This window comes from Homo sapiens, chromosome 4 (assembly GCF_000001405.40).
Source record: "Homo sapiens chromosome 4, GRCh38.p14 Primary Assembly".
NCBI lineage: Eukaryota > Metazoa > Chordata > Mammalia > Primates > Hominidae > Homo > Homo sapiens.
The window spans coordinates 112566151-112593697 of record NC_000004.12 but is presented as its reverse complement, the minus strand read 5'-3'; the positions used below and the strand labels follow the sequence as shown (position 1 = coordinate 112593697).

General features: G+C 37.7%; 1 protein-coding gene across 28 annotated transcripts in view; it reads left to right on the top strand.

Annotated features, from left to right (window-relative positions):
- Positions 1–27547, top strand: part of ZGRF1 (zinc finger GRF-type containing 1) — a 97571-nt gene that overhangs the window by 43212 nt on the left and 26812 nt on the right. For 25 of the 28 annotated variants that reach the window (XR_938764.2, XM_047415917.1, XM_047415914.1 and 22 more), the window contains 6 exons: positions 3824–3974; positions 5769–6418; positions 7115–7253; positions 7973–8157; positions 9524–9720; positions 11896–12035. Coding sequence is in view for 27 of the 28 variants with exons in the window: in XM_047415917.1 (XP_047271873.1) it covers positions 3824–3974; positions 5769–6418; positions 7115–7253; positions 7973–8157; positions 9524–9720; positions 11896–12035 (1462 nt within the window). In the remaining variant the exon portion in view is untranslated. Of the gene's footprint in view, positions 1–3823; positions 4069–5768; positions 6419–7114; positions 7254–7972; positions 8158–9523; positions 9721–11895; positions 12036–27547 lie in introns of those variants that run through there. The other 3 variants (XM_011532098.3, XM_011532099.3, XM_047415923.1) reach the window with 2 other exon arrangements.

Here is a 27547-nt window from a genome sequence, read left to right as displayed (position 1 = left end):
CAGCATGTGTAAATTCCCTGAGATTGAAAAGTTGAGTGAGTTTGAGGAAGTGAAAGAAGGCCAAGGTATCTGGATTGTGGTGAATGAAACAGAAAATGGTAATTAATGAGGCTGGACAGGTCAGCTGGGCCAGACATAGACATAGAGTCTTCAGGCCAGGTTCAGAATAAAATCAAAACTTTGATTTTTATTGTGCGTGCCACTGGGAAATCACTGAAGGATGCAGCATGAAGTGACATGATTCAATTTATATTTTTAAAGTTTTTGCTGGCTGCTATATAGAAGATGGCTTGGATGGACACAGTGGTAGAAGCGGAGAAACCAGTTAAGAGAATGCTTTGATGATAGTGAATTGAAGTAGGGATTGTGGCAGTGAAAGTATAGTGGAGTTGGTGGGTTTAAGACAAATCTTGGAGGTAGAATCATGGATGTTACTGGATTAAATGTAAGGAGTAGGGTGAAAGAAAGGGAGAAGAAAAACAACTGGGCAGACTGAGGCAATTTTCATTGAGTAAAGCAAGATGGGGAAGTGTATTAGTTTGCTAGGGTTGCCATAACAAAATACCACAGGCTAGATGGCTTAAACAACAGAAATTAATTTTCTCACAGTCTGAAAGCTAGAAGTCCAAGATCAAGGTTCCAGCCAATTCTGTTTCTGATGAGCCCCTCTTCATGGCTTACAGATAGCTGCCTTCTCCCTATGTCCTTACATGTCCTTTTCTTGTGTGCATTTGAAGAGAGAGAATTCTCTGTTGTCTCTCTTTGTAAGGTAACTAATTCAGTTGGGTAAGGGCCCCACTCTTATGACCTCATTTAACCCTAGTTATCTCCTAAAGGCTGTGTCTTCAAATATAATCACATTGGAGGTTAAGGCTTCAACATATACATTTTTTGTGGGTACATAATTCTCTCCATAGCAGGGAGGAGCAGGTTTGGTGAATACATAAGAATAAATAAATAATACCTGTGAAACCATCAAATAGAGATGCTAAGTAAGAAGTTGAGTACATGAGTCTGATTTAGAGGAGATATTTGTGGAGTCATTTGCACAAAGAAAAGTTTAAAGCAGTAAGAGTGGATGGGTTCATTTAAAGAGAGCATAGAGAAGAGAATGGGTTATATTTGTATCAAGAATTGGGATAGAGAGAGTTATGTGAATTATTATTGAGACATCCAATAAAATGAGGACAGAAATATGTCCATTTCATTTAGCAACTTGGAGGTCAGTGGTGACCTTGGCAAGAGCAATTTCAATGAAATAGGGTAAGAATTAGTTTAGAGTCATTTAAAAAGTGAATGAGGCCTGGCGTGGTGGCTGACACCTGTAATCTTAGCACTTTGGGAGGCCGAGTCAGGTGGATCACCTGAGGTCAGAAGTTTGACACCAGCCTGGCCAACATGGTGAAACCCCGTCTCTACTAAAAGCACAAAAATTAGCCTGGGGTGGTGGCACACGCCTGTAGTCCCAGCTACTCAGGAGCCTGAGGCACGAGAATTGCTTGTACTTGGGAGTTAGAGGTTGCAGTGAGCTGAGATCACGCCACTGCACTCCAGCCTGGGCAACACAGTGAGACTTGATCTCAAAAAAAAAAAAAAAAAAAGAATGAATGAGAGGTAAGAAAATGGAGACCATGTATGTAGCAAACTCCTTAAAATGAGTGTATTTATTTAATCAGTCACTCATTTGACAAATATTTCTTGAGCAATGCCTGTTATGTTACACTGTTCTTGGTCTAGAGATAGGCTTGTGAATAAAGCAGGCATGATCTTTCCCTCATAGAACTTACATTCTAGTTAAAGGAGACAGAAAATAAATAAATATACAGCACCTCAGAGTGTCTTAAGTGCTCTGAAGAATGACACTGGTATGTAGGGGGATAGGGAGTGCACATGGGAGTGGAGTTCTATTTTAGGCAAGGTAAGCCTCTCTGATAAGATGACACTGGAGTCGAGATCTGAATGAAGAGAGGGAGAAAGGCATGCAGATATCTAGGGGAAAGGCATTCCAGGCACAGGGAATAGCAAGAGCAAAGGTTTTGGGGCAGAAGAATGATGGCTGGTGTGTAAAACAGCAAGGAGGCTGCCATGGAGTGAGTGAGTGAGGGGGAGGGTGATAGGCAGTGAGGTTAAACAGGAGGTAAGGGGCTGATGAGGTAGGGCTGCATAGGACTTTGTAAGAGCTGCCTCATACTTTAAGAGAGATTGGGAGCCATTGGAGGGTTTTGATCAGAGGAATGAAATAATCGAACTTACATTTTAGAAAGTACTCTGGCAAGTTTCTGGAGAGGGTAGTAGGGGAACAGAGCGGAATACTGTACTCAGTAAGTACTGCCTGTTACTGTTATTTTTATTAAAGAGGCAATACAGTCTAGACTGGCTAGATTTGAACTCCCTTATAAGCTTGATGAATTAAGCAAATTTAAGTGCTTAACTGCTCTTTTTCTCACTTCTCCCAGTTGTAAAATAAGGAAAATAAGAGTACCCACCTCATATGGTTGTGACAAGGATTAAACAAGTTAAAATATATAGTGTTGGCATATAGTAAGAACTCAGAAATATAATAAAACTATTTTTATAGTGATGATTGTAATTTCCCATTTGTCTGTCTTCCACTGAACTGAACTCCTTGAGTCCAGGGATCATGAGTATTTTTTCACATCTTTGTTTCCTAGCACAGCACCCAGAACCCAGTAGCCAATCAAGAAAATGTTGTAAAATATATATATAAGCTTATAAACTTTGAATCTTTATTGTCTTTTTTTTTTTTTTTTTTGAGAAGGAGTCTTGCTCTGTTGCCTAGGCTGGAGTGTAATGGCGTGATCTCGGCTCACTGCAACCTCGCCTCCCAGGTTCAAGTGGTTCCCCTGTCTCAGCCTCATGAGTAACTGGGATTACAGGCACATGCCACCATGTCCGGCTAATTTTTTGTATTTTAGTAGAGATGGGGTTTCACTGTGTTGCCCATCCTGGTCTCGAACTCCTGACCTCAGGTGATCCACCCGCCTCAGCCTCCCAAAGTGCTGGGATTACAGGAGTGAGCCACTGCGCCTGGCTCTTGTCATTTATTAAGGAAAATATACAGTCACTAACATAATCATTTTAACAAGTTCAAATCATTTACAAGAGTATGAAGTTATAAGTAAAAGAGCTTTTCCCCCAATTCCACTCCCATCAAAAGCCACTCTAACAATTTGGTATGTATTCTTCCAAATTTTATTCTTTTATTCTGTGCTTATACAAATATATATATTGTGTATATATTTGATCATCATATTAGATTTTAAGATGATTAATTTCTGGAAGAAGCAGCAGCAAAATTAAATGCTGTTCTAACAAGAATAACATATGAACTGTATAGCTGGCATGTATTTAACAAGTTCACTTCATTTGGGAGCAATGTCTTGAAGTTTAGATCAACTATGGACTTGAGGACATAAGAGAAAACTGTTCAGTCCTTGAGTTTGCAGGGATTTAGACCTTCACAGCTGTAAACATGAGGTCTAATTTGGCCTGAGCCCCTTAGAATGGCAGTTGATCTTCAGGACCAAAGCCTAATAACCCAGACCAGTCCAAATCAAAATCTGACCCACTTCAAGTAAATCTGAAAGATTTTATGCTCTGTATTTTACTGTTATTCTTGTTGATTTTAGTAAGTTTATTCTGTCCTTTTTGGAAGAAGTTTTATAGTTGTTGCCCCCACCATAGCTCTACATAATGTGCTTTAAATCATTATTTTTATAATATAGATTACTAGAATTCATTCAAACTAAAGAAAAAAATCAGAAGATTTTGGTCTGTAGTTTTGATTCTTCTTTCTGTATAGGTGACATCACCAGAAGAAAACATCTCTACATTGAGCCCTGTTTCTACCTTTTCTTTGAACTCAAGAGATGAAGACTTCATGGTAGAATTCTCTGAGACGTCCCTGAAAGCAAGAACTTTACCTGATGATCTTCATTTTCTCAACTTGGAGGGTAGTCGTTACCACATTGCTCTAATATCTGTCTATTCATTTAAGATGAAGTTTTTTATTTGAGAGATTATTACACTAAATATATCTTAGAACCAGATTCAGTGTCATATCCCTTGAAGCCTTTCCATAACCTTTCTTCCTTTGAACTTTTTCTATCATAGATAGCTATTCCAGGTACAATATTCCCTTCTAGCTATCTAGTTCCTTCTTGTTTCTCCTCCCAACTTTGTCAACACAGACCCCTGAAAGTATCTTCTACCATTGTCAGTTCTTCTCACAGCTGTAACTCCAGCATCTGACCCCTTTACAGCCCTTTCCTGTTCCAGAGGAATGACTCATTGCAAGTGTCTCATCAACACCATTGGTTGACCTTAGCATAACCTTTTAGTGTCTCTTTTTGCTTTGGGATCCTGAACTCTTCAACTGCTGCTACCACCCTTGCATTCCTAGGACTCTAGGTTTTCATATATTTTGGCCCTTCACTATGAGTCAGCTTCTGCTTCTTGATGAATATAATACTATTCTCTAGGATCCCTTTCACTAAAATTTCTTTTTTTCTCTTTTCTTATAATCTCATCAATATATCTTCCCCTGATTCTGAATTTATGTTGGGTGAGGGGTGAGTTGTAGATAGTTTTTTGATTTTGGATGGATGATAACAAAAAATTCTGTAATGTGAATTGGTAGTTGGGTTAGAAAAGGTTTTATGGGTGTGGTTGGTAGAAGGCAACAAGGTAGAGAAGAATCAAATACACCGGAGTGGGTATTCAAGAAAAAGTGATATGGTAGTGAACAGTAGATGATTTTCACAGTTATACCATGAATCTTTTACTTTAATGGACTTTTAACTTTTCTGTCAGTGTTACTTGATCGACTTGTTAGAATTACAGCATAGCACTTTATAAAAGAATATTCATTGGCTCACCTACTGCTCTGCTACTTTCCAGATGATCTCCAGAGTATATTTCCAACAAGATAGAAACTCTGTCAGGAAGGCACATTATTATAAAATAGGAATCCATAGTATTGTCAGATAAAAACTATAAGCTTGCATAATTCTGATGCAGTATTATTCATTTGTTTATATATTCAACAAATAGTTACTGCTTCTTAGATTTTTAGGAATATATCACTAAAGCTGCTGACACACAGAAGGAATCATTAAACTCTTTCAGACAGAATTTGCCATGAGTTTACCAGAATTATACTCTTATCAAACACCATTAGATCAAAATAAAGCTAAAATCTTTTTTTACTCTGAAGGGTAACATGATAATTCATGAGTGTAAAAATATATAAAGGAAGTTACAATCACATAGTCATATAAATGAACCATGAGCTTCCGTCTCTGGGAAAGAATGTAAAGTAGATATAAAAAACTAGTCTAGGTTCTTATCCTGACTCTGCCACTTAGTAGTTATGCTACTGCTAAGCCTTTGTAATCTCATTTGTAAAATGAGAATGATGCATTTTTGTTGTTGTTGTTAGCTTTAAAGTGCTTTGAAAATGTTAAGTGCTATATAAACATAATTTAGTAATTAGGAAAAAAAAAGGAGGAGAAGAAAAAGAGGGACTTCATCAACCCTAAGAATGTTTCAGTATATATGAATTAAGCTTTGAAATCTTTATTTTTTGAGGTTAAAACCATTAATTTTTTTTTAAGGAAATAAAATAATGTGATTTTTTTTTTCAGAGCAAGTTGCTACATTTTGCTTTTGTATACCCACTGTTTTCTAGAGCCTAGGTGATAACTAGTAGAACATTTTTATTTAATCAGCATTCTGTTTTCTTTCAGGGATGAAAAAATCCCGTTCTCTGGAGAATGAGAACCTTCAAAGGCTTTCATTATTAAGTAGAACCCAGGTTCCACTTATTACTTTGCCACGTACTGATGGGCCACCTGACTTAGACTCTCATTCGTATATGATCAACTCTAACACATACGAGTCTTCTGGCTCCCCCATGCTCAATTTGTGTGAAAAGTCAGCAGTTCTTTCGTTTAGCATTGAGCCTGAGGACCAAAATGAAACCTTTTTCTCTGAAGAATCTAGGGAAGTGAATCCAGGGGATGTTTCACTTAATAATATATCTACTCAGAGCAAGTGGCTGAAATATCAAAACACATCCCAATGCAACGTGGCTACTCCAAACAGAGTTGATAAGAGAATAACTGATGGCTTCTTTGCTGAGGCTGTTTCTGGGATGCATTTTAGAGACACAAGTGAAAGACAGAGTGATGCTGTCAATGAAAGCTCTTTAGACTCTGTGCATTTGCAAATGATAAAAGGCATGCTCTATCAACAGCGGCAGGATTTTAGCAGTCAAGATTCGGTTTCCAGAAAGAAAGTACTTTCTCTGAATTTAAAGCAGACTTCTAAGACAGAGGAAATTAAAAATGTATTAGGAGGGTCTACCTGCTACAACTACAGTGTAAAGGATTTACAGGTGAGGAAATGTACCGGTCTTGTGGTGCATTTTTCCAATAGTTATTGTCTGAATTTCAACAAAAGAATTACCAAAATATACTGCATAGGAGCAATTTGGACAGATGGCTTTTTTTGATCCTAACTCTGAGCTACAGTTACATCATCCTTTACTTAAAATCTCTCGTAATAGTAGTGAACATTGAATGAAATGATTTATTTGAAAGTATCTGGTGCAGTGTCTGGTAAATTATCAGTACTTAATAAGTGATAGCTCCTACTTTTGTTTCCATCACTACTACCATTACAATTATTGTTTTTACTTTTGACTGTCAATTGTGTTTGCTGATTAAGTCATTAGGGTAAAGGTGCATCTTATTTCACGTTAATTGTGAATAATCCTTATTATAGTCATAACCAGAAATAAAGATACGTAATGATCCATTCACATCAGTTAACTTTTTCCTAGCAAAAAATATATAAAAACTTACTAAGGGGCAGATAAGAAAAGTTACTCTTATATAGGGTTAAAATTGCCATTCGTAGCTATTCTTGCTATATTTGGTTTCTCATTTAAAATTTGAAAGTAATTTTCAAGGATCCTAGAAATCAAAAGAAAAATTAATATTTTTAAAAAATGTCTATGAAAAATAATTTACTCTTTAGTAAACAGTATTTTTCTGGAGTTGCTATGATAACTTGAATTATTCCATTGCAGGAGATAAGTGGCTCTGAGCTGTGCTTTCCAAGTGGGCAGAAAATAAAATCTGCTTATCTTCCCCAAAGGCAAATTCACATACCAGCTGTTTTTCAGTCTCCTGCTCATTATAAGCAGACTTTCACATCTTGCCTCATAGGTATGGCTGTTGTGTTTTTATTGTATCATGATTGCTGCTTCATGTAAGTAGTAAAATTGTGAGAATTTAATACATTATATTGTGAATTTTCATACTAAATACCTTATTTTTCATATGTTCTAGTTTTTGACAGTAACTTTTATTCTAATTTCAGATCAAAACTGAGTTTTAAAAGTGGGAAATTACAATCTTCTTTTTTTTTTTTGAGACAGGATCTCACTATGTTGCCCAGGCTGGAGTGCAGTGGAGCAGTCTTGGCTTACTGTAACCTTGCCTTCCAGGTTCAAGTGATCCTCCCACTTCAGCCTCCCAAGTAGCTGGAACCACAGGTGCACACCACCACACCCAGCTAATTTTTGTATTTTTAGCAGAAATGAGGTCTCACCATATGGCTCAGGCTGGTCTTCAACCCCTAGGGGGCTCAAGCAATCTACTCGCCTTGGCCTCCCAAAGTGCGTTGATTACAGGCATGAGCCACCACACTTGGCCAGTATTATCTTTTGAAAGTTAAGAGTTTTTCTTCCTTTTTTTTTTTTTTTTAACTAGAAGTGTTACAAATGACCTGTTAAATTTAGCAGAAAATAACTTTTAAAAACGGATATTCCTATTATATGACTCTGTTTAAAGGCTATTCAAATTTAGCTACAAACAGCACATATGTGATACAAACAAAATTATTTTGTATTTAATTTTCTGCTCTCTTTTTTTTTTTTTTGTAGAACATCTAAATATATTGCTGTTTGGGTTAGCACAAAACCTGCAGAAAGCTCTTTCAAAAGTTGACATATCATTTTATACATCATTGAAGGGAGAGAAACTGAAAAACGCAGAAAATAATGTACCATCCTGCCATCATAGTCAACCTGCAAAACTTGTCATGGTTAAAAAGGAAGGTCCAAATAAGGTATTCTTGCTTCCCCTCCCCCTACCATACCAAATACTTGTCTTATAAAGGGTTTAGATACCTATTACTTCATGATAAGCTTAAAGAGTGAGTCTTGATTAAGAGCTTTCTATTTGAGGTGTTGGTACCTAACATACATTAAATTCTCAAAGTTTTATTGAAAGAATGATTTGTGCTCTAGGATACAAAAATATGAGTTAAGATTAACCTTCAAGTTGCTTAGGAACTTTTTGTATAGTATTTTTATTTATTTTTATTATTACTATTTTTTTAGACACAGGGTCTCACTGTTGCCCAGGATGGAGTGCAGTAGCATGATCATAGCTCACTGCAGCCTTGAACTTCCGGGCTCAAGCCATCCTCCCGCCTTGGCCTCCCAAAGTGCTAGGATTACAGGCATAAGCCACTGTGCCCAGCTGAAAATTTTACATACTTCTGTAATTGATAAAATAGGAGGAATATGCTCAAGTTACAGTGAGATCACTGAGAAGGGGGATATGTTCCAACCTGAGAGCTTAGAGAATTCAGAAATGAGCCTGAAAGAAATGAAGGTTGAAACTAGTCTACCATGTAATCCCCAGTACAAGTAACAGATAAGGCCAGAGGAATAGAAAAGTATGCTGGCTTAATTTACATTGTTAATAATATATTATGGAGGAAGTCAGGTTAGTAAAATGTATGTTGATTGATGACTTATACTCATTGTAGAACTGTGCTTTCATTCATAATACAGTTTGCTTCCACCATTTGCATATCCCACTTCATTGTTAGCTAAGTGTGTAAATTTGGATTTAAATTTAGGTGTCAAAAGCAAAAATTCATGAGTAGTGATATAACTGTGGACTAAAATATAGCCACTAAAAATCTTTGTTTTCTTTTTAAGATTATTTGATGACATAGTTGCATGCTCGTACTATGTTGTTGGGTACAAGGGCTAGGTTACAGAGTAGAAAATGTATCATCTGAGTTTTGTGTAAAAAAAATTTACATGTGTTTGTTCTTTTTGGGTTGTGGTGTGTGTGTACTTACGCGAATGAGAAAAAAGGATAGAAATAAATGGATAAGATATTCAGTGTTTCTGGACAGTTTTCAGGTTGTTTATAGTGAACATTTTAAATCAGAAAAACAAATTTTCAAATAAGCTTTTATTCTCAGAATAATGTAATCTTTTGATAAAGAGAAAGTAAATGGAAAAGTAGGTGGTTTTAAATTTTAAATTAATGATAAAGTTAAGTCATATAGTGACTAATTTACTGGAGTACAGTAATGCCAAGCAGTCTTCATAGAAGCCTTGACAAACACAAAAATAATCGAAAAATAAAAGCATTTTTTTCACTAAATGTTGATCTTTTTTCTTTCCCCTTAGGGTCGTCTCTTTTATACATGTGATGGACCCAAAGCTGATCGATGTAAATTCTTTAAATGGCTTGAGGACGTGACTCCAGGATATTCAACACAGGAAGGAGCTCGACCTGGCATGGTTTTAAGTGATATTAAGAGTATTGGCTTATATTTAAGAAGTCAAAAGATACCACTTTATGAGGAATGCCAGCTTTTGGTGAGGTATGTTTTATAGTACCAAATAATTGCCTGTGATTATATAAGAGAACAACAGCCTTCACAGAACTATCATCAGTTTTAAAAGAGATTAAGATAGGAAAACTATTTAAAAGATGGAATACCTCAGTTTCTAAACCTGCAAAATGGGAATAAGTCTTTTTTTTTTTAATTATATAGTTACAAGCTCTTGCTCTGTTGCCCAGGCTGGAGTGCAGTGGTGTGATCCTTAGCTCACTGCAACCTTCAACTCCTGGGCTGAAGCTCTCCACCCACCTCAGCCTCCTGAGTAGCTAGGACTTCAGGCACATGCCACCATGCCCAGCTAATTTGAAATTTTTGTAGAGTTGGGGTCTTGCTATGTTGCCCAGGCTAGTTTCAAACTCCTGGACTCAAATGATCCTCCCATCTCACCCTCCCAAAGTGCTGGAATTAGAGGTGTGAGCTATCATGCTCGGCCAGGGAATAAGTCTTTAAAGTTATTTCGGCTCCCTCTAAACATCAAACAATGTCAGCAATATCAGGATAACTAGCAGGGTGCTATTTTTCTAACTTATTTTGTATATAGTCGGGGCTATTTTCCACAATCCTAAGGGAAACCCTATCCGACAAACTATAGGAATAATTTTTAGCAGTGTGGCATAATAAATAAGTGATCATTTGCATGTCTGAACTACATAGCTTATAGGGTAATAGAATGCTACTTTTTGGAAGTATGTCTTATAAAAGTTTAGATTATTCAAAATAAATATAATGACTATTTGCATGGTGATTTAGTAGTAAGATTTTTATTCGGAGCTGATATATGCCAGGCCCTCTTCTAACTAGGCACTTCGCATGAATTATTTTATGCAATTATTATAATAGCCCGTAAGATGGAGATATCGGAATAAGTTATTCCCGTTTTATAGTTTAGAAAATGAGGTTCCGCAAAAAAATAAAAATAGAACTATCATATGATCCAGCAATCCCATTCTTGGGTATGTATCCAAAAGAAAGGAAATAAGTATATCAAAGAGATACCTGCACTTTCATGTTTATTTCAGCAGTATTCACAATAGCCAAGATATGGAATCAACCTAAGTGTCCATCAATGGATGAATGGATAAAGAAAATGTGGTATGTAAACACACACACACAATGGGATCTTACTCAGCCATAAAAAAGAATGAAATCTTGTCATTTGCAGCAACTGGAGGTCATTATGTTAAGTGAAATAAACCAAAGGCCAGGCATGATCTCACGCCTGTAATCCCAGAACTTTGGGAGGCTAAGGTGGGTGAATCACTTGAACACAGGAGTACCAGACCAGCCTGGGCAACATGATGAAACGTCGTCTCATGAAACCTCGTCTCTACAAAAATTAGCCAGGTGTGGTGGCCTGCACCTGTAGTCCCAGCTACTTGGGAGGCTGAGACGGGAGGATGGCTTGAGCCCAAGGAGGTGGAGGTTGCAGTGAGCCAAGGTCATGCCACTGCACTTCCAGCCTGGGCAACAAAGCCAGACTCTGTCTCAAAAAAAAAGGAAAAAGCCAGATATAGAAAGACAAATATTGCATGTTCTTACTCATGTGTGGAGCTAAAAAAGCAGATCTCATGGAAGTAAGAGAATAGAATGATGGTTACCAGAGGCTGGGAAGAAAAGGGGGTGGGAAATGAAGAGAGGTTGGTTAAAGTGTTAAAAAAAAAAAAAAAAGGAATACAGTAGGGAAATTATAGTTAACAATAATTTATTGTATATATCAGAATAACTAGAAGAGAAGAATTGTAATGTTCCCAACACAAAGAAAAGATCAGTGTTTGAAGTGATGAATATCCCAGTTTCCCTGATTTGATCTGATCATTACACAATGTGTAAAGGTATCAGGATATCACATGTACTCCCAAAATATGTGTAACTATTATATACCAATAAACAAAATTAAATTTAAAAATTTTAAAAAGCACACGAGGTGTTCTATCTTTTAGATACTTTTCTATCTCAGTCTCTTCTAAAACTGATGACAGTTCTGTGACAGTTGTTATTTTCTTACTTTGATACAGTATATTTATATTTTGTATACATGTATGAAACTAGGTAAACATATGAAACCCTGGTTCTTTTCATACTGTATTTTAAAGATTTTCAAAAAACTTGCATCTTAATATTACAATTCATTTTTATTTTTTATTCCCTTTTCAGAAAAGGATTTGATTTTCAGAGAAAACAGTATGGCAAACTAAAGAAGTTTACTACTGTAAATCCTGAGTTTTATAATGAACCAAAAACCAAACTTTATCTTAAGCTAAGTCGGAAGGAAAGATCTTCAGCTTATAGCAAAAGTAAGTTGATCTGATCATACTGGCGATTCAGTCTAGCCTTATTATCTCCATTACATACAGCTGTATAAATTGTTTATATTAAAGAATTTTATATTAAATTTTAAAAGTATAATTTAATAGTAATATGTATTATAAACTAATTGTATAATAAATTAGACCACTTCTAAAAAACATATTTTTAAGATATTAGGGCTTTTTATTTTTATTTTTTTATTTATTTTTATTTTTATTTTTATTATACTTTAAGTTTTAGGGTACATGTGCACAACGTGTAGGTTTGTTACATGTGTATACATGTGCCATGTTGGTGTGCTGCACCCATTAACTCATCATTTAACATTAGGTATATCTCCTAATGCTATCCCTCCCCCCTCCCCCCACCCCACAACAGGCCCCAGTGTGTGATGTTCCCCTTCCTGTGTCCATGTGTTCTCATTGTTCAGTTCCCACCTATGAGTGAGAACATGCGGTGTTTGGTTTTTTGTCCTTGCGATAGTTTGCTGAGAATGATGGTTTCCAGCTTCATCCATGTCCCTACAGAGGACATGAACTCATCCTTTTTTATGGCTGCATAGTACTCCGTGGTGTATATGTGCCACATTTTCTTAATCCAGTCTATCACTGATGGACATTTGGGTTGGTTCCAAGTTTTTGCTATTGTGAATAGTGCTGCAATAAACATACATGTGCATGTGTCTTTATAGCAGCATGTTTTATAATCCTTTGGGTATATACCCAGTAATGGGATGGCTGGGTCAAATGGTATTTCTAGTTCTAGATCCCTGAGGAATCACCACACTGACTTCCACAATGGTTGAACTAGTTTACAGTCCCACCAACAGTGTAAAAGTGTTCCTATTTCTCCACATCCTCTCCAGCACCTGTTGTTTCCTGACTTTTTAGTGATCGCCATTCTTACTGGTGTGAGATGGTATCTCATTGTGGTTTTGATTTGCAGTTCTCTGATGGCCAGTGATGATGAGCATTTTTTCATGTGTCTTTTGGCTGCATAAATGTCTTCTTTTGAGAAGTGTCTTTTCATATCCTTTGCCCACTTTTTGATGGGGTTGTTTGTTTTTTTCTTGTAAATTTGTTTGAGTTCATTGTAGATTCTAGATATTAGCCCTTTGTCAGATGAGTAGATTGCAAAAATTTTCTCCCATTCTGTAGGTTGCCTGTTCACTCTGATGGTAGTTTCTTTTGCTGTGCAGAAGCTCTTTAGTTTAATTAGATCCCATTTGTCAATTTTGTCTTTTGTTGCCATTGCTTTTCGTGTTTTAGACATGAAGTCCTTGCCCATGCCTATGTCCTGAATGGTATTGCCTAGGTTTTCTTCTAGGGTTTTTATGGTTTTAGGTCTAACATTTAAGTCTTTAATCCATTTTGAATTAATTTTTGTATAAGGTGTAAGGAAGGGATCCAGTTTCAGCTTTCTACATATGGCTAGCCAGTTTTCCCAGCAACATTTGTTAAATAGGGAATCCTTTCCCATTTGCTTGTTTTTGTCAGGTTTGTCAAAGATCAGATAGTTGTAGGTATGCGGCATTATTTCTGAGGGCTCTGTTCTGTTCCATTGGTCTATATCTCTGTTTTGGTACCAGTACCATGCTGTTTTGGTTACTGTAGTATAGTTTGTAGTATAGTTTGAAGTCAGGTAGCGTGATGCCTCCAGCTTTGTTCTTTTGGCTTAGGATCGACTTAGCAATGTGGGCTCTTTTTTGGTTCCATGTGAACTTCAAAGTAGTTTTTTCCAATTCTGTGAAGAAAGTCATTGGTAGCTTGATGGGGATGGCATTGAATCTGTAAATTACCTTGGGCAGTATGGCCGTTTTCACAATATTGATTCTTCCTACCCATGAGCTTGGAATGTTCTTCCATTTGTTTGTATCCTCTTTTATTTCATTGAGCAGTGGTTTGTAGTTCTCCTTGAAGAGGTCCTTCACGTCCCTTGTAAGTTGGATTCCTAGGTATTTTATTCTCTTTGAAGCAATTGTGAATGGGAGTTCACTCATGATTTGGCTCTCTGTTTGTCTGTTATTGGTGTATAAGAATGCTTATGATTTTTGCACATTGATTTTGTATCCTGAGACTTTGCTGAAGTTGCTTATCAGCTTAAGGAGATTTTGGGCTGAGACGATGTGGTTTTCTAGATATACAATCATGTCATCTGCAAACAGGGACAATTTAACTTCCTCTTTTCCTAATTGAATACCCTTTATTTCCTTCTGTTGCCTGATTGCCCTGGCCAGAACTTCCAACACTATGTTGAATAGGAGTGGTGAGAGAGCGCATCCGTGTCTTGTGCCAGTTTTCAAAGGGAATGCTTCCAGTTTTTGCCCATTCAGTGTGATATTGGCTGTGGGTTTGTCATAGATAGCTCTTATTATTTTGAGATACATCCAATCAATACCTAACTTATTGAGAGTTTTTAGCATGAACGGTTGTTGAATTTTGTCAAAGGCCTTTTCTGCATCTATTGAGATAATCATGTGGTTTTTGTCGTTGGTTCTGTTTATATGCTGGATTATGTTTATTGATTTGCATATGTTGAACCAGCCTTGCATCCCAGGGATGAAGCCCACTTGATCATGGTGGATAAGCTTTATGATGTGCTGCTGGATTCAGTTTGCCAGTATTTTATTGAGGATTTTTGCATCGATGTTCATCAGGGATATTGGTCTAAAATTCTGTTTTTTTGTTGTGTCTCTGCCAGGCTTTGGTATCAGGGTGATTCTGGCCTCAGAAAATGAATTAGGGAGGATTCCCTCTTTTTCTATTGATTGGAATAGTTTCAGAAGGAATGGTACCAGTTCCTCCTTGTACCTCTGGTAGAATTCGGCTGTGAATCCATCTGGTCCTGGACTTTTTTTGGTTGGTAGGCTATTAATGATTGCCTCAATTTCAGAGCCTGTTATTGGTCTATTCAGAGATTCAACTTCTTCCTGGTTTAGTCTTGGGAGGATGTATGTGTCGAGGAATTTATCCATTTCTTCTAGATGTTCTAGTTTATTTGCGTAGAGGTGTTTATAGTATTCTTTGATGGTAGTTTGTATTTCTGTGGATCGGTGGTGATATCCCCTTTATCATTTTTTATTGTGTCTATTTGATTCTTCTCTCTTTTCTTCTTTATTAGTCTTGCTAGCGGTCTATCAATTTTGTTGATCTTTTCAAAAAACCAGCTCCTGGATTCATTGATTTTTTGAAGGGTTTTTTGTGTCTCTATTTCCTTCAGTTCTGCTCTGATCTTAGTTATTTCTTGCCTTCTGCTAGCTTTTGAATGTGTTTGCTCTTGCTTCTCTAGTTCTTTTAATTGTGATGTTAGGGTGTCAATTTTAGATCTTTCCTGCTTTCTCTTGTGGGCATTTAGTGCTATAAATTCCCCACTACACACTGCTTTGAATGTGTCCCAGAGATTCTGGTATGTTGTGTCTTTGTTCTCTTTGGTTTCAAAGAGCATCTTTATTTCTGCTTTGATTATGTACCCAGTAGTCATTCAGGAGCAGGTTGTTCAGTTTCCATGTAGTTGAGTGGTTTTGAGTGAGTTTCTTAATGCTGAGTTCTGGTTTGCACTGTGATCTGAGAGATAGTTTGTTATAATTTCTGTTCTTTCACATTTGCTGAGGAGTGTTTTACTTCCAACTATATGGTCAATTTTGGAATAGGTGTGGTGTGGTGCTGAAAAGAATGTATATTCTGTTGATTTGGGGTGGAGAGTTGTGTAGATATCTATTAGGTCCGCTTTGTGCAGAGCTGAGTTCAATTCCTGGATATCCTTGTTAACTTTCTGTCTCATTGATCTGTCTAATGTTGACAGTGGGGTGTTAAAGTCTCCCATTATTATTGTGTGGAAGTCTAAGTCTCTTTGTAGGTCTCTAAGGACTTGCTCTATGAATCCGGGTGCTCCTGTAATTGGGTGCATATACATTTAGGATAGTTAGCTCTTCTTGTTGAATTGATCCCTTTACCATTATGTAATGGCCTTCTTTGTCTCTTTTGATCTTTGTTGGTTTAAAGTCTGTTTTATCAGATACTAGGATTGCAACCCTTGCCTTTTTTTGTTTTCCATTTGCTTGGTAGATCTTCCTCCATCTCTTTATTTTGAGCCTATGTGTGTCTCTGCATGTGAGATGGGTTTCCTGAATACAGCACACTGATGGATCTTGAGTCTTTATCCAATTTGCCAGTCTGTGTCTTTTAATTGGAGCATTTAGCCCATTTACATTTAAGGTTAATATTGTTATGTGTGAATTTGATCCTGTCATTATGATGTTAGCTGGTTATTTTGCTCGTTAGTTGATGCAGTTTCTTCCTAGCGTCGACGGGCTTTACAATTTGGCATGTTTTTGCAGTGGCTGGTACCAGTTATTCCTTTCCATGTTTAGCGCTTCCTTCAGGAGCTCTTTTAGGGCAGGCCTGGTGGTGACAAAATCTCTCAGCATTTGCTTGTCTGTAAAGGATTTTATTTCTCCTTCACTTATGAAGCTTAGTTTGACTGGATATGAAATTCTGGGTTGAAAATTCTTTTCTTTAAGAATGTTGAATATTGGCCCCCACTTTCTTCTGGCTTGTACAGTTTCTGCTGAGAGATCAGCTGTTAGTCTAATGGGCTTCCCTTTGTGGGTAACTCGACCTTTCTCTTTGGCCGCCCTTAACATTTTTTCCTTCATTTCAACTTTGGTGAATCTGACGATTATGTGTGTTGGAGTTGCTGTTCTTGAGGAGTATGTTTGTGGCATTCTCTGTATTTCCTGAATTTGAATGTTGGCCTGCCTTGCTAGATTGGGGAAGTTTTCCTGGATAATATCCTGCAGAGTGTTTTCCAACTTGGTTCCATTCTCCCTGTCACTTTCAGGTACACCAATCAGACGTAGATTTGGTCTTTTCACATAGTCCCATATTTCTTGGAGGCTTGGTTCATTTCTTTTTATTCTTTTTTCCATAAACTTCTCTTCTTGCTTCATTTCATTCATTTGATCTTCCATCACTGATACCCTTTCTTCCAGTTGATCGAATCGGCTACTGAGTCTTGTGCATTTATCATGCAGTTCTCGTGCCATGGTTTTCAGCTCCATCAGGTCCTTTAAGGACTTCTGTGCGTTGGTTATTCTTGTTAGCCATTCGTCTAATTTTTTTTCAAGGTTTTTAACTTCTTTGCCATGGGTTCAAACTTCCTCCTTTAGCTGGGAGTAGTTTGATCGTCTGGAGCCTTCTTCTCTCGACTTGTCAAAGTCATTCTCTGTCCAGCTTTGTTCTGTTGCTGGTGAGGAGCTGCGTTCCTTTGGAGGAGGAGAGGCGCTCTGATTTTTAGAGTTTCCAGTTTTTCTGCTCTGTTTTTTCCCCATCTTTGTGGTTTTATCTACCATTGGTCTTTGATGATGGTGACGTACAGATGGGGTTTTGGTTTGGATGTCCTTTCTGTTTGTTAATTTTCCCTCTAACAGTCAGGACCCTCAGCTGCAGGTCTGTTGGAGTTTGCTGGAGGTCCACTCCAGACCCTGTTTGCCTGGGTATCAGCAGCGGAGGCTGCAGAACAGCGGATATTGGTGAACAGCAAATGTTGCTGCCTGATTGTTCCTCTGGAAGTTTTGTCTCAGAGGAGTACCCAGCCGTGTGAGTTGTCAGTCTGCCCCTACTGGGGGGTGCCTCCCAGTTAGGCTACTTGGGGGTCAGGGACCCACTTGAGGATGCAGTCTGTCCATTCTCAGATGTCCAGCTGCGTGCTGGGAGAACCACTACTCTCTTCAAAGCTGTCAGACAGGGACATTTAAGTCTGCAGAGGTGTCTGTTGCCTTTTGTTTGGCTAAGTCCTGCCCCCCAGAGGGGGAGTCTACAGAGGCAGGCAGTCCTCCATGAGCTGCGGTGGGCTCCACCCAGTTCGAGCTTCCTGCCACTTTGTTTACCTACTCAAGCCTCTGCAATGGCAGGCACCCCTTCCCCTGGCCTAGCTCCTGCCTTGCAGTTTGATCTGAGACTGCTCTGTTAGCAATGAGCGAGGCTCCGTGGGTGTAGGACCCTCTGATCCAGGCACGGGATATAATATCCTGGTGTGCTGTTTGCTAAGACTGTTGGAAAAGCGCAGTATTAGAGTGGGAGTGACCCAAATTTTCCAGGTGCCGTCTGTCACACCTTTCTTTGACTAGGAAAGAGAATTCCCTGACCCCTTGCACTTCCCGGGTGAGGCGATGCCTCACCCTGCTTCGGCTCATGCTCGGTGCACTGCACCCACTGTCCTGCACCCACTGTCCAACACTCCCCAGTGAGATGAACCCGGTATCTCAGTTGGAAATGCAGAAATCACCCGTCTTCTGCATTGCTCACGCTGGGAGCTGTAGACTGGAGCTGTTCTTATTTGGCCATCTTGGCTCTTCCCCCCAAATGTTAGGCCTTTTTAAAAACTTTATTAAAAGGGATACGAGAAACATTTAATTAGTTCTTGGAATCATATAAGTAAGTATATTGATTCAACTGTGCTCTGATTTAATGTCGAAAATAAACTGAAAATACGTAATAATAAGTTTGTTGATGCTTCTTTTATTGTCTATGTAATTTGGCAACATTGAACCCCAAATTTTGTATATTTGGAAATAAAATTCTTTAAACATTGTTTTTTTTTTGTTTGCTTGTTTTTTTTTTTCCTGAGACAGAGTCTCACTCTGTTGCTGAAGCTGGAGTGCAGTAGCGTGATCTAGGTTCACTGCAGTCTCTGCCTCCTGGGTTCAAGTGATTATTCTGCCTCAGTCTCCCGAGTAGGTGGGATTACAGATGCGCGCTACCACATCCAGCTAATTTTTGTATTTTTAGTAGAGACAGGGTTTCACCATGTTGGCCAGCCTGGTCTTGAACTCCTGGCCTCAGGTGATCCACCCACCTTGGCCTCCCATGGGATTACAGACATGAGCCACCATGCCCGGCCAGCATTGAGTGTTTTTAAAGGACCTTAGGTACACTAAGTTGGATTAATCATTATTTGAGATTTTGTGACCTACTCTTAGTCATTGGTCCTCACATAGCTCACCTTCATTTAGTTATTTAATTAGTAACTTACTTAAAATAATACAATAAGCATCTGTGAGCCCACAAACCAAATCAAAATCTAGTACCTTTATACCAACCTACATTTAAGTTAACCCCATTACCTCATCTTGTCTCTCCAAACCCAAGGTAATTATCATTTTGATCCTTGCACTCACCAGCATTTTTCTTTCTTCTGTGTATAGATTTATGTAAATGAATTCCTAAAGAGCTATATAAAATTTTTAGTTTTTTTAGACCTTACTAAAATGATGTCATTCTGTATATAATCTTTTGGAATTTATCTTTTTTTGGTTAGTATGTTGCTACAATTTATCCATGTTGTTCTCAAATCTAGAGTCTAGATTATTTGTTTTGACTGTTGTATAATATTTTGTAAACATGCTATAGTTTATTGTTTTCATTGTTGTTTGGGTTTCTAAGTTTTACCATTGTGAACAGGGTGTTATGAATATTATTCTTGTACTGTCTTTTAGACATGTATGGGTTTCTTTTGAATATTACTCTAGGAATGAAAATGCTGCCTTACAGCATATGAACATACTTCACACATCTTTAGATTGTGATGCCAAACTGATTTCCAAAGTGGCTCTATCAGTTTGTACTCATTCTAAGTATAAGAGATCTTATGGATCAACCCATTCAAATGAGTATAAGATGATTGCATTGTGGTTTTAGCTCACACTTCTCTGCTCACCACTGATGTTAAAATACTCTTCATGTGTTTTTTAGTTACATGTGTTTCTTCTTAGCCATTTTACTATTGGGTTCTTTATAACCTTCTTTTATTTATAGAAGTTCTTTATGTATTCTTCATATTCTTTGTTGATTATGTATATTATAAATATCTGCTCATCAGATCATGTCTTTTCACTTACTTTAAGGTGTCTTTAGATAAATAAAAATTCTTAATTTTAGAATAGTCATATTTATTAGTAATCTTTTCTTTTTGACAGTGCTTTTTGCATCTTACCTTAAAAATCTTTTCCTATGCTGAGTTCTAAAATTACTCACCTATATTTTCTACTAAATGTTTTACGGTTTGGTTTTTGACATTTAAATCTTTATTATTAATTTCCATAATTTTTTGAGGGAACAGGTGGTGTTTGGTTACGTGAATAAGCTCTTTAGTAGTGATTTCTGAGATTTTGCTACACCTATCACCTGATCAGTATACACCGTATCAAATTTGTAGTCTTTTTATCCTTCACTGCCCCCCTTACCCTTTCCCCTGAGTCCCCAAAGTCCATTGTATTATTATTATGCCTTTGTACCCTCATAACTTAGCTCCCACTTATGAGTAAGAACATACGATGTTTGATTTTTCCATTCCTGAGTTACTTCACTTAGAATAGTGGTCTCCAGTTCCATCCAGGTTGTTGCAAATGCCATTATTCGTTTCTTTTTATGGCTGAATAGTATTCCATGGGTGTGTGTGTGTGTGTGTGTGTGTGTGTGTGTGTATCACAATTTCTTTATCCACTTGTTGATTGATAGGCATTTGGGCTGGTTCCATATTTTTGTAATTGGGAATTGTGCTGCTATAAACGTGTAAGTATCTTTTTTGTGTTTTCCTCTGAATAGATACCCAGTAGTGGGATTGTTGGATCAAATGGTAGTTCTACTTTTAGTTCTTTAAGGAATCTCCACACTGTTTTCCACTGGTTGTACTAGATTACATTTCCACTAGCAGTGTAAAAGTGTTCCCTTTCATCCCTGCCAACATCTATTAATTTTGATTTTTTGATTATGGCCATTCTTGCAGGATTAAGGCAGTATTGCCTTGTGGTTTTGATTTGCATTTCCCTGATCATTAGGGATGTTGAGCATTTTTTCATGTTTGTTGGCCATTTGTGTATCTTCTTTTGAGAATTGTCTATTCATGTCCTTAGCCCACTTTTTGATGGGATCATTTGGTTTTTTTCTTGCTGATTTGTTTGAGTTCCTTGTAGATTCTGAGTGTTAATCGTTTGTCAGATGTATAGATTGTGAATATTTTCTCCCACTCTGTGGGTTGTCTGTTTACCCTGATGATTGTTAATTTTGCTGTGCAGAAGCTTTTTACTAATAGTTTAATTAAGTTCCACTTATTTAGCTTTGTTTTTATTGTATTTGCTTTTGGGTTTTTGGTCATGAAGTCTTAGCCTAAGCCAAAGTCAGAAGGGTTTTTCTGATGTTCTAGAATTTTTATGGTTTCAGGTCTTAGATTTAAATCCTCGATCCATGTTTAGTTGAATTTTGTATAAGGTGAGAGATGAGGATCCAATTTCATTCCTCCACATGTGGCTTGCTAGTTATCCCAGCACCATTTGTTGAATAGGGTGTTTTTTCTCCACTTTATGTTTTTGTTTGTTTTGTCAAAGATCAGTTGGCTCTAAGTATTTGGCTTTATTTCTGGGCTCTCTATTCTGTTCTATTGGTTTGTGTGCCTGTTTTTATACCAGTACCATGCTGTTTTGGTGGCTATGAGATTTAAATCTTCAGTCCACTTGAAGTTGATTCTTTTTTCTTTTGTATATGGTATGAAGTAGGGATCCAGTTTCATCTTTTTCTTTTTAATTACCAATTTTGCTAGAATAGTAACCATTTTTTATTGATTAGTCTCTCTTTTCCTCACTGATCTGAAATGCTACCTCTGTCATATAATCAGGTTTAAAGTAGCTGTGTGTGTTCTTGACTCCCTATTTTATACTGTAGGTTAATTTGTATATTGTTGTACCAGTTCCACACTGCCTTAATTACCATGGCTTCATAAATCCAAATATCAAATAGTGCAAGTTCCCCTCTCTGTTCTTAGATGTGACCTGGCTGTTCTTGGTCCTTTACTCTTTCATATATATTTTAGAATCATCTTATCAAGTTTCATGAAAAACTTGTTGGGATCTTAATTGGAATTGTACCTATAAAGTTGAGAAGGGATGACATCTTTAAAATACCAAGATTTAGGGCTGAGCATGGTGGCTCACGCCTGTAATCCCGACACTTTGGGAGGCCAAGACAGGAGGATAGCTTGAGCTCAGGAGTTTGGAGACCAGCCTGGGCAACATAGTGAGACCTTGTCTCAGAAAAAAAAAAAATTAAGATTTAATACCATGTACTTGCTGTATCTCTGTTTATTTAAAAATTGTTTGTAACATCTTATAATAAAGTTTTGCAAATTTCCCTGTAGAAGTTTTGAATATTTTTATCTTAAATTTATTCATATTCTCTGATACCATTGTATTGTTTGTGTTTTTATTCTTCTGACCAGTCTTGCCTGAGGTTTGTCTTATTTTGTTATTGTTTTCGAAGAACTGACTTGGCTTTATTGATCAGAAGATCAGCAATGTATTTTTGTTTTGTTTTTATTGTTGTTATTGGCTTCCTCTCTAATTTTTATGATTTCTTCTATTTTGTTTAGGATAGTATACTGTTCTTTTTACACATCTTAAGCTTGATACTTAGCTAATTTTGAGGCTTTTCTCTTCTCTAATATAATTATTAGGGCTGTAAGTTTTCCTTAAAGTACCACTCTTTTTTTTTTTTTTTGAAATGCAGTCTGGCTCTGTTGCCCAGGCTGAGTGCAGTGGCACAATCTTGGCTCACTGCAACCTCCACCTCCTGGGTTCAAGTGATTCTCCTGCCTCAGCTTCCCGAGTAGCTGGGACTACAGGCACCTACCACCACACCCAGCTAACTTTTTGTATTTTTAGTAGAGACAGGGTTTCACCATGGTGGCCAGGTTGGTCTTGAACTCCTCACCTCAAGTGATCTGCGTGCCTGGGCTCCCAAAGTGTTGAGTTTACAGATGTGAGCCTCCATGCCTGGCCTACCACTCTATTTTTGCTGAAGTATTTTTTTCATTATAATTCAGTTTGTTTTAAGTTTTCCATTATGATTTTTTTTAACCTGTGAGTCATTTAGCATGTGTTTTAATATTAAAAATGTAAGGAATTTCTAGTTGAACTTTTTGTTAACTTCTGACTTAAATATGTAATAGGTAGACATTATGATTTTTATAATATTATTCTTTAAAATTTATTAAATTTATGTATGTATGTATGTTTGAGACAGAGTCTTGCTCTGTTGCCCAGGATGGAGTGCAGTGGCATGATCTCAGCTCACTGCAACCTGTGTCTCCCAGGTTCAAGCCATTCTGCCTCAGCCTCCCAAGTAGCTGGGATTACAGGCACCCACCACCACACCCACTAAATTTTCTATTTTTAGTAGAGACAGGTTTTCACCATGTTGGCCAGGCTGGTCTCAAACTCCTAGCCTCAAGTGGTCTGCCCTCTTCAGCCTCCCAAAGTGCTAGGATTACAGGCGTGAGCCACCACGACTAGCCTACTAAGGTTTTTGTACACTTGATTGTAGCCAAAAGACTGAGAAGTGATATTATTAAGGTTTTTTTTTAATGGCATAGTACAAGAGAAATACATTTTCTCTAATTGTTGAATTCAAAACTCTTTAATGATCAGATCAAGCTTATTAATTGTCTTGTCCAGATCTTCTATATAGTCTTGCTAACTTTTTGTGGCAGTTATCTAAGTAATTAAGGGAGATGAGTTGCAAACTTCCTCTGTGGTGCACTCTCTGTCTGCTATTTATTACTTTTTGCATCTTATATATTAGGGCTATTTTATTGGGTACATATATGTTTTAAATTATTAACTTCAGGGTAAACTTACATCATCATGTAGAGATGATCCTTTCCATCTCTAATAATTTTTTCTTAAAAATCTATCTGTTAATGTAGATATGCTAAGTTTATTTTGACTAGTATTAGTTTCATAAGTCTTTTTTCATTTTTTTATCTTTCTTTCTTCATATTTTACAGGTGTTCCTTATAAACAGCATATGTCTCAATTTTAAAGACGTGACTTGTAAATAGAATAAGCCCGATAGTTGAATTTATTATAGTAATTGACACCTGGATGTGTTTCTTTAATCTTAAATTATTTTTGTTTATTCTAATTTTACTATGCTTTTTAAAATAATTTCTTACTTTTAAAAAATAAATTGATATTTAAATCTTATCCCTGCCCCCAATAAAACAGATACTTAGAAAGCACCCACATCCCTTGGTTCTTCCCCTGATCCCTTTCCTTACTCTTGCCCGCCCTGCCCCCAGTTGACAAAATCTAGACTAGTGCTACTCAAGGTAGAGTCTGTAGGCTGGTTCTGGTCCACAAACTTACTGGTTCCCAAAAAGAGCTGAGGAGCTGCTCCAGAATGTAAATCATCTATATCATTAGCATGCTGTTTAGTTTAGCTGTATTTTGTTTTATTTGTAGCAAGCTTTCTGAATGAAGGAAGCATTATGTTGATTTATTGGATTATATTCTAGCACAAGCTTCTTGTTACAGACCAATAACAAACTGTTTAGGACAGCCTACTTTGAGTAGTTCTAGTCTAAATCTTGAAACACTTGGTTAGTATAGATCTATTTTCTATCTTTCTTTGGACAATAATTTGGCTACATATAAAATTTTAGGTTCTAAGTTCTTTTCCTTTAATACTTTCAACCTACAAAAACAGCACTTTCAAATATTTTAATCCAACATTTAATATACTTAGTTATCATCTTGTATTCACTGTTTGAAAGTCTGATGGCACTGTGATTTTATTTTTTTTTCTGAGATGGAGTCTTGCTCTGTCGCCAGGCTGGAGTGCAGTGGCGTGATCTCAGCTCACTGCAACCTCCGCCTCCTGAATGATGAGGTGATTCTCCTTCCTCAGCCTCCTGATTAGCTGGGACTACAGGCGCACACCACCATGCACAGCTAATTTTTGTATTTTTAGTAGAGATAGGGTTTCACCATGTTGGCCAGGATGGTCTCGATCTCTTGACCTTGTAATCTGCCCGCCTTGGCCTCCCAAAGTGCTGGGATTACAGGCGTGAGCCACCACGCCTGGCTTTTTTTTTTTTTTTTTTTTTTTGAGACAGAGTTTCACTCTCGTCACCCGGGCTGGAATGCAGTGGTGCAATCTGGGCTCACTGCAACCTCCACCTCCCGGGTTCAAGCGGTTCTGCTGCCTCTGCCTCCAAGTAGCTGGGATTACAGGTGTCCACCACTATGCCTGGCTAGTTTTTTTTATTTGTAGTAGAGACACGGTTTCACCATGTTGGTCAGGCTGGTGTCGAACTCCTGACCTCAGGTGATCCACCCACCGCGGCCTCCCAAAGTGCTAGGATTACAAGCGTGAGCCACCACACCTGGCCGGCACTCTGAGTCTTATTTCTTTATGTGTTATGTGGTCTTTCTGGCTGGGAGTTTTAGAATTTTCTTGATTTCTTTGATAGTCTTATATTTCTCTATACAGTGTCTAACTGGGTTTTTCCTTGTTTCTCCTCTTGGGCACATTATGGGCCTTTTAAATCTAAAGTTCATCATCTTTTTTTTACTTCTGGGAAATGGATCTTCATTATTTCTTCAAATAAGCTTCCTATTTATCTCTTTATTCTTTCCCTCCTTTCTAGGTCTTTTATTATTTAAATATTAGCACTTCTGAATCTGTCTTCCAAATCTCTTAGTTTTTCCTTTATATTTCCTGAATTTTTGTCCTTTCTTCCTTCTGGGAAATATCATCAATATGATTATCTGAATTGGCTATTGATTCCTCAAATGTATTCATCCTGCTATTTATCAATTATATTTTTCCAACCTAATATTTCTGTTCATTTCTTTTTCCTGTTTTTTTTGTTTGTTTGTTTTTGTTTTTTAATTTTTGAGACAGGGTCTCACTCTGTCACCCAGGCTGGAGTAGAGCAATCACGGCTCACTGCAGCGTTGACCTCCTAGGCCCTAGTGATCCTCCCACCTCAGCGTTCTGACTAGCTGGGACTACAGGTTCAAGCCACTACACCCAGCTAATGTTTTTATTTTTTGTAGCCATGGGGTCTTGCTATGTTGCCCTGGCACATCTCGAACTCGTGGGCTTAAGTTATCCCCCTGACTCAGCCTCCTAAAGTGTTGGGATTATAGGTGTGAGCCATTGTGCCTGGCCTGTTTTCTTGTATGTATGTGCATATGTATTTATTTATTGAGATGAGGCCTCACTGTTTTGCCTAGGCTGGCCTCAAACTCTGGGGCTCAAGCAATTCTGTCATCTCAGCCTCCCAAGTAGCTAGGACTACAGTTGTGTGCCACTGCACTCGGCTGTCATTATTTTACATTGTTACCATCTTCCTTTACCTCTTTACATCTCTTTATCAGGCCAAATTTAAATTATTTGCCCATCAATTCTGGCTTTCCCTTTTCTATATGATTCTATAGTCCAGTTTTTGTTTTTTTTTTAAGTCTTTGTGTTCCTTGAATGTCTCAATATTTTGGCCTGTGAACTCATTTTTCCCTGGCGTTATGAGCTTTTCTTTCTGGCAGTATATGTTGGGGAAGGCCCATCCCAATCTGGTCAGCTCCAAGGAGCTCAGGGAGTTGAGGGTGTAAATGAGCTATGGGGTGGAGAGCCCCAGGCACCAGAAAACCACAACTACCTGCAGAACAATCCCTAAAGTGAAGTCTAAAACCTCTGGTTAAAAGGAAAAAGCAACATTAAGATGTATCATTTCTTAGACTGTAGAATTCTTTAGCCCTAGGAGTTTGGAGGTGAGGTGGAGACTGCCTGTGATCAGTGAGTTACCATCTGTTTTTCTCCACACTTTATGGCACAGAACTTGCATTGCTACCCTGATTTTTTTTTTTTTCCTCCAGAGGATTTCTGGACCAGAAGTATAAATTGCCTTATGGATGGGTAGGCCCTATTTGTCCCAGTACAATTGGGGATGGGGAAGAGGATGGGATGGGAAGTAAGAACAGAACCCCAAGAGCCTCCCCACCCTCTTTGATCCCCTCCTCCTCTACAGGCCTTCTGCCCTTGGCCAAAATCACTTCAGGGACACAAACCCCAGTACAAAACAGGCCCTCCAACTCGAGGTTTTCCATGGTTTTCTCCACTTCTCTCTCTGTTCCCCACAGAAAGGAAGCCAACAATCATACTAATTCAGCATCTTAGATGACACCAGAATCAGGAATCCCCTATATCTTTATTTTTTTAATTCAAAAGTGTTTTTGAGCATTGTTTTGCATGTTTTGAATTATGTTATTAATTCAGTAAGTAAAAAATTTATTTTTTATTTATTTATTTATTTTATTTTATTATTATTATACTTTAAGTTTTAGGGTACATGTGCACATTGTGCAGGTTAGTTACATATGTATACATGTGCCATGCTGGTGTGCTGCACCCATTAACTCATCATTTAGCATTAGGTATATCTCCTAAAGCTATCCCTCCCCCCTCCCCCCACCCCACAACAGTCCCCAGAGTGTGATGTTCCCCTTCCTGTGTCCATGTGTTCTCATTGTTCAATTCCCACCTATGAGTGAGAATACGTGGTGTTTGGTTTTTTGTTCTTGTGATAGTTTACTGAGAATGATGATTTCCAATTTCATCCATGTCCCTACAAAGGACATGAACTCATCATTTTTTATGGCTGCATA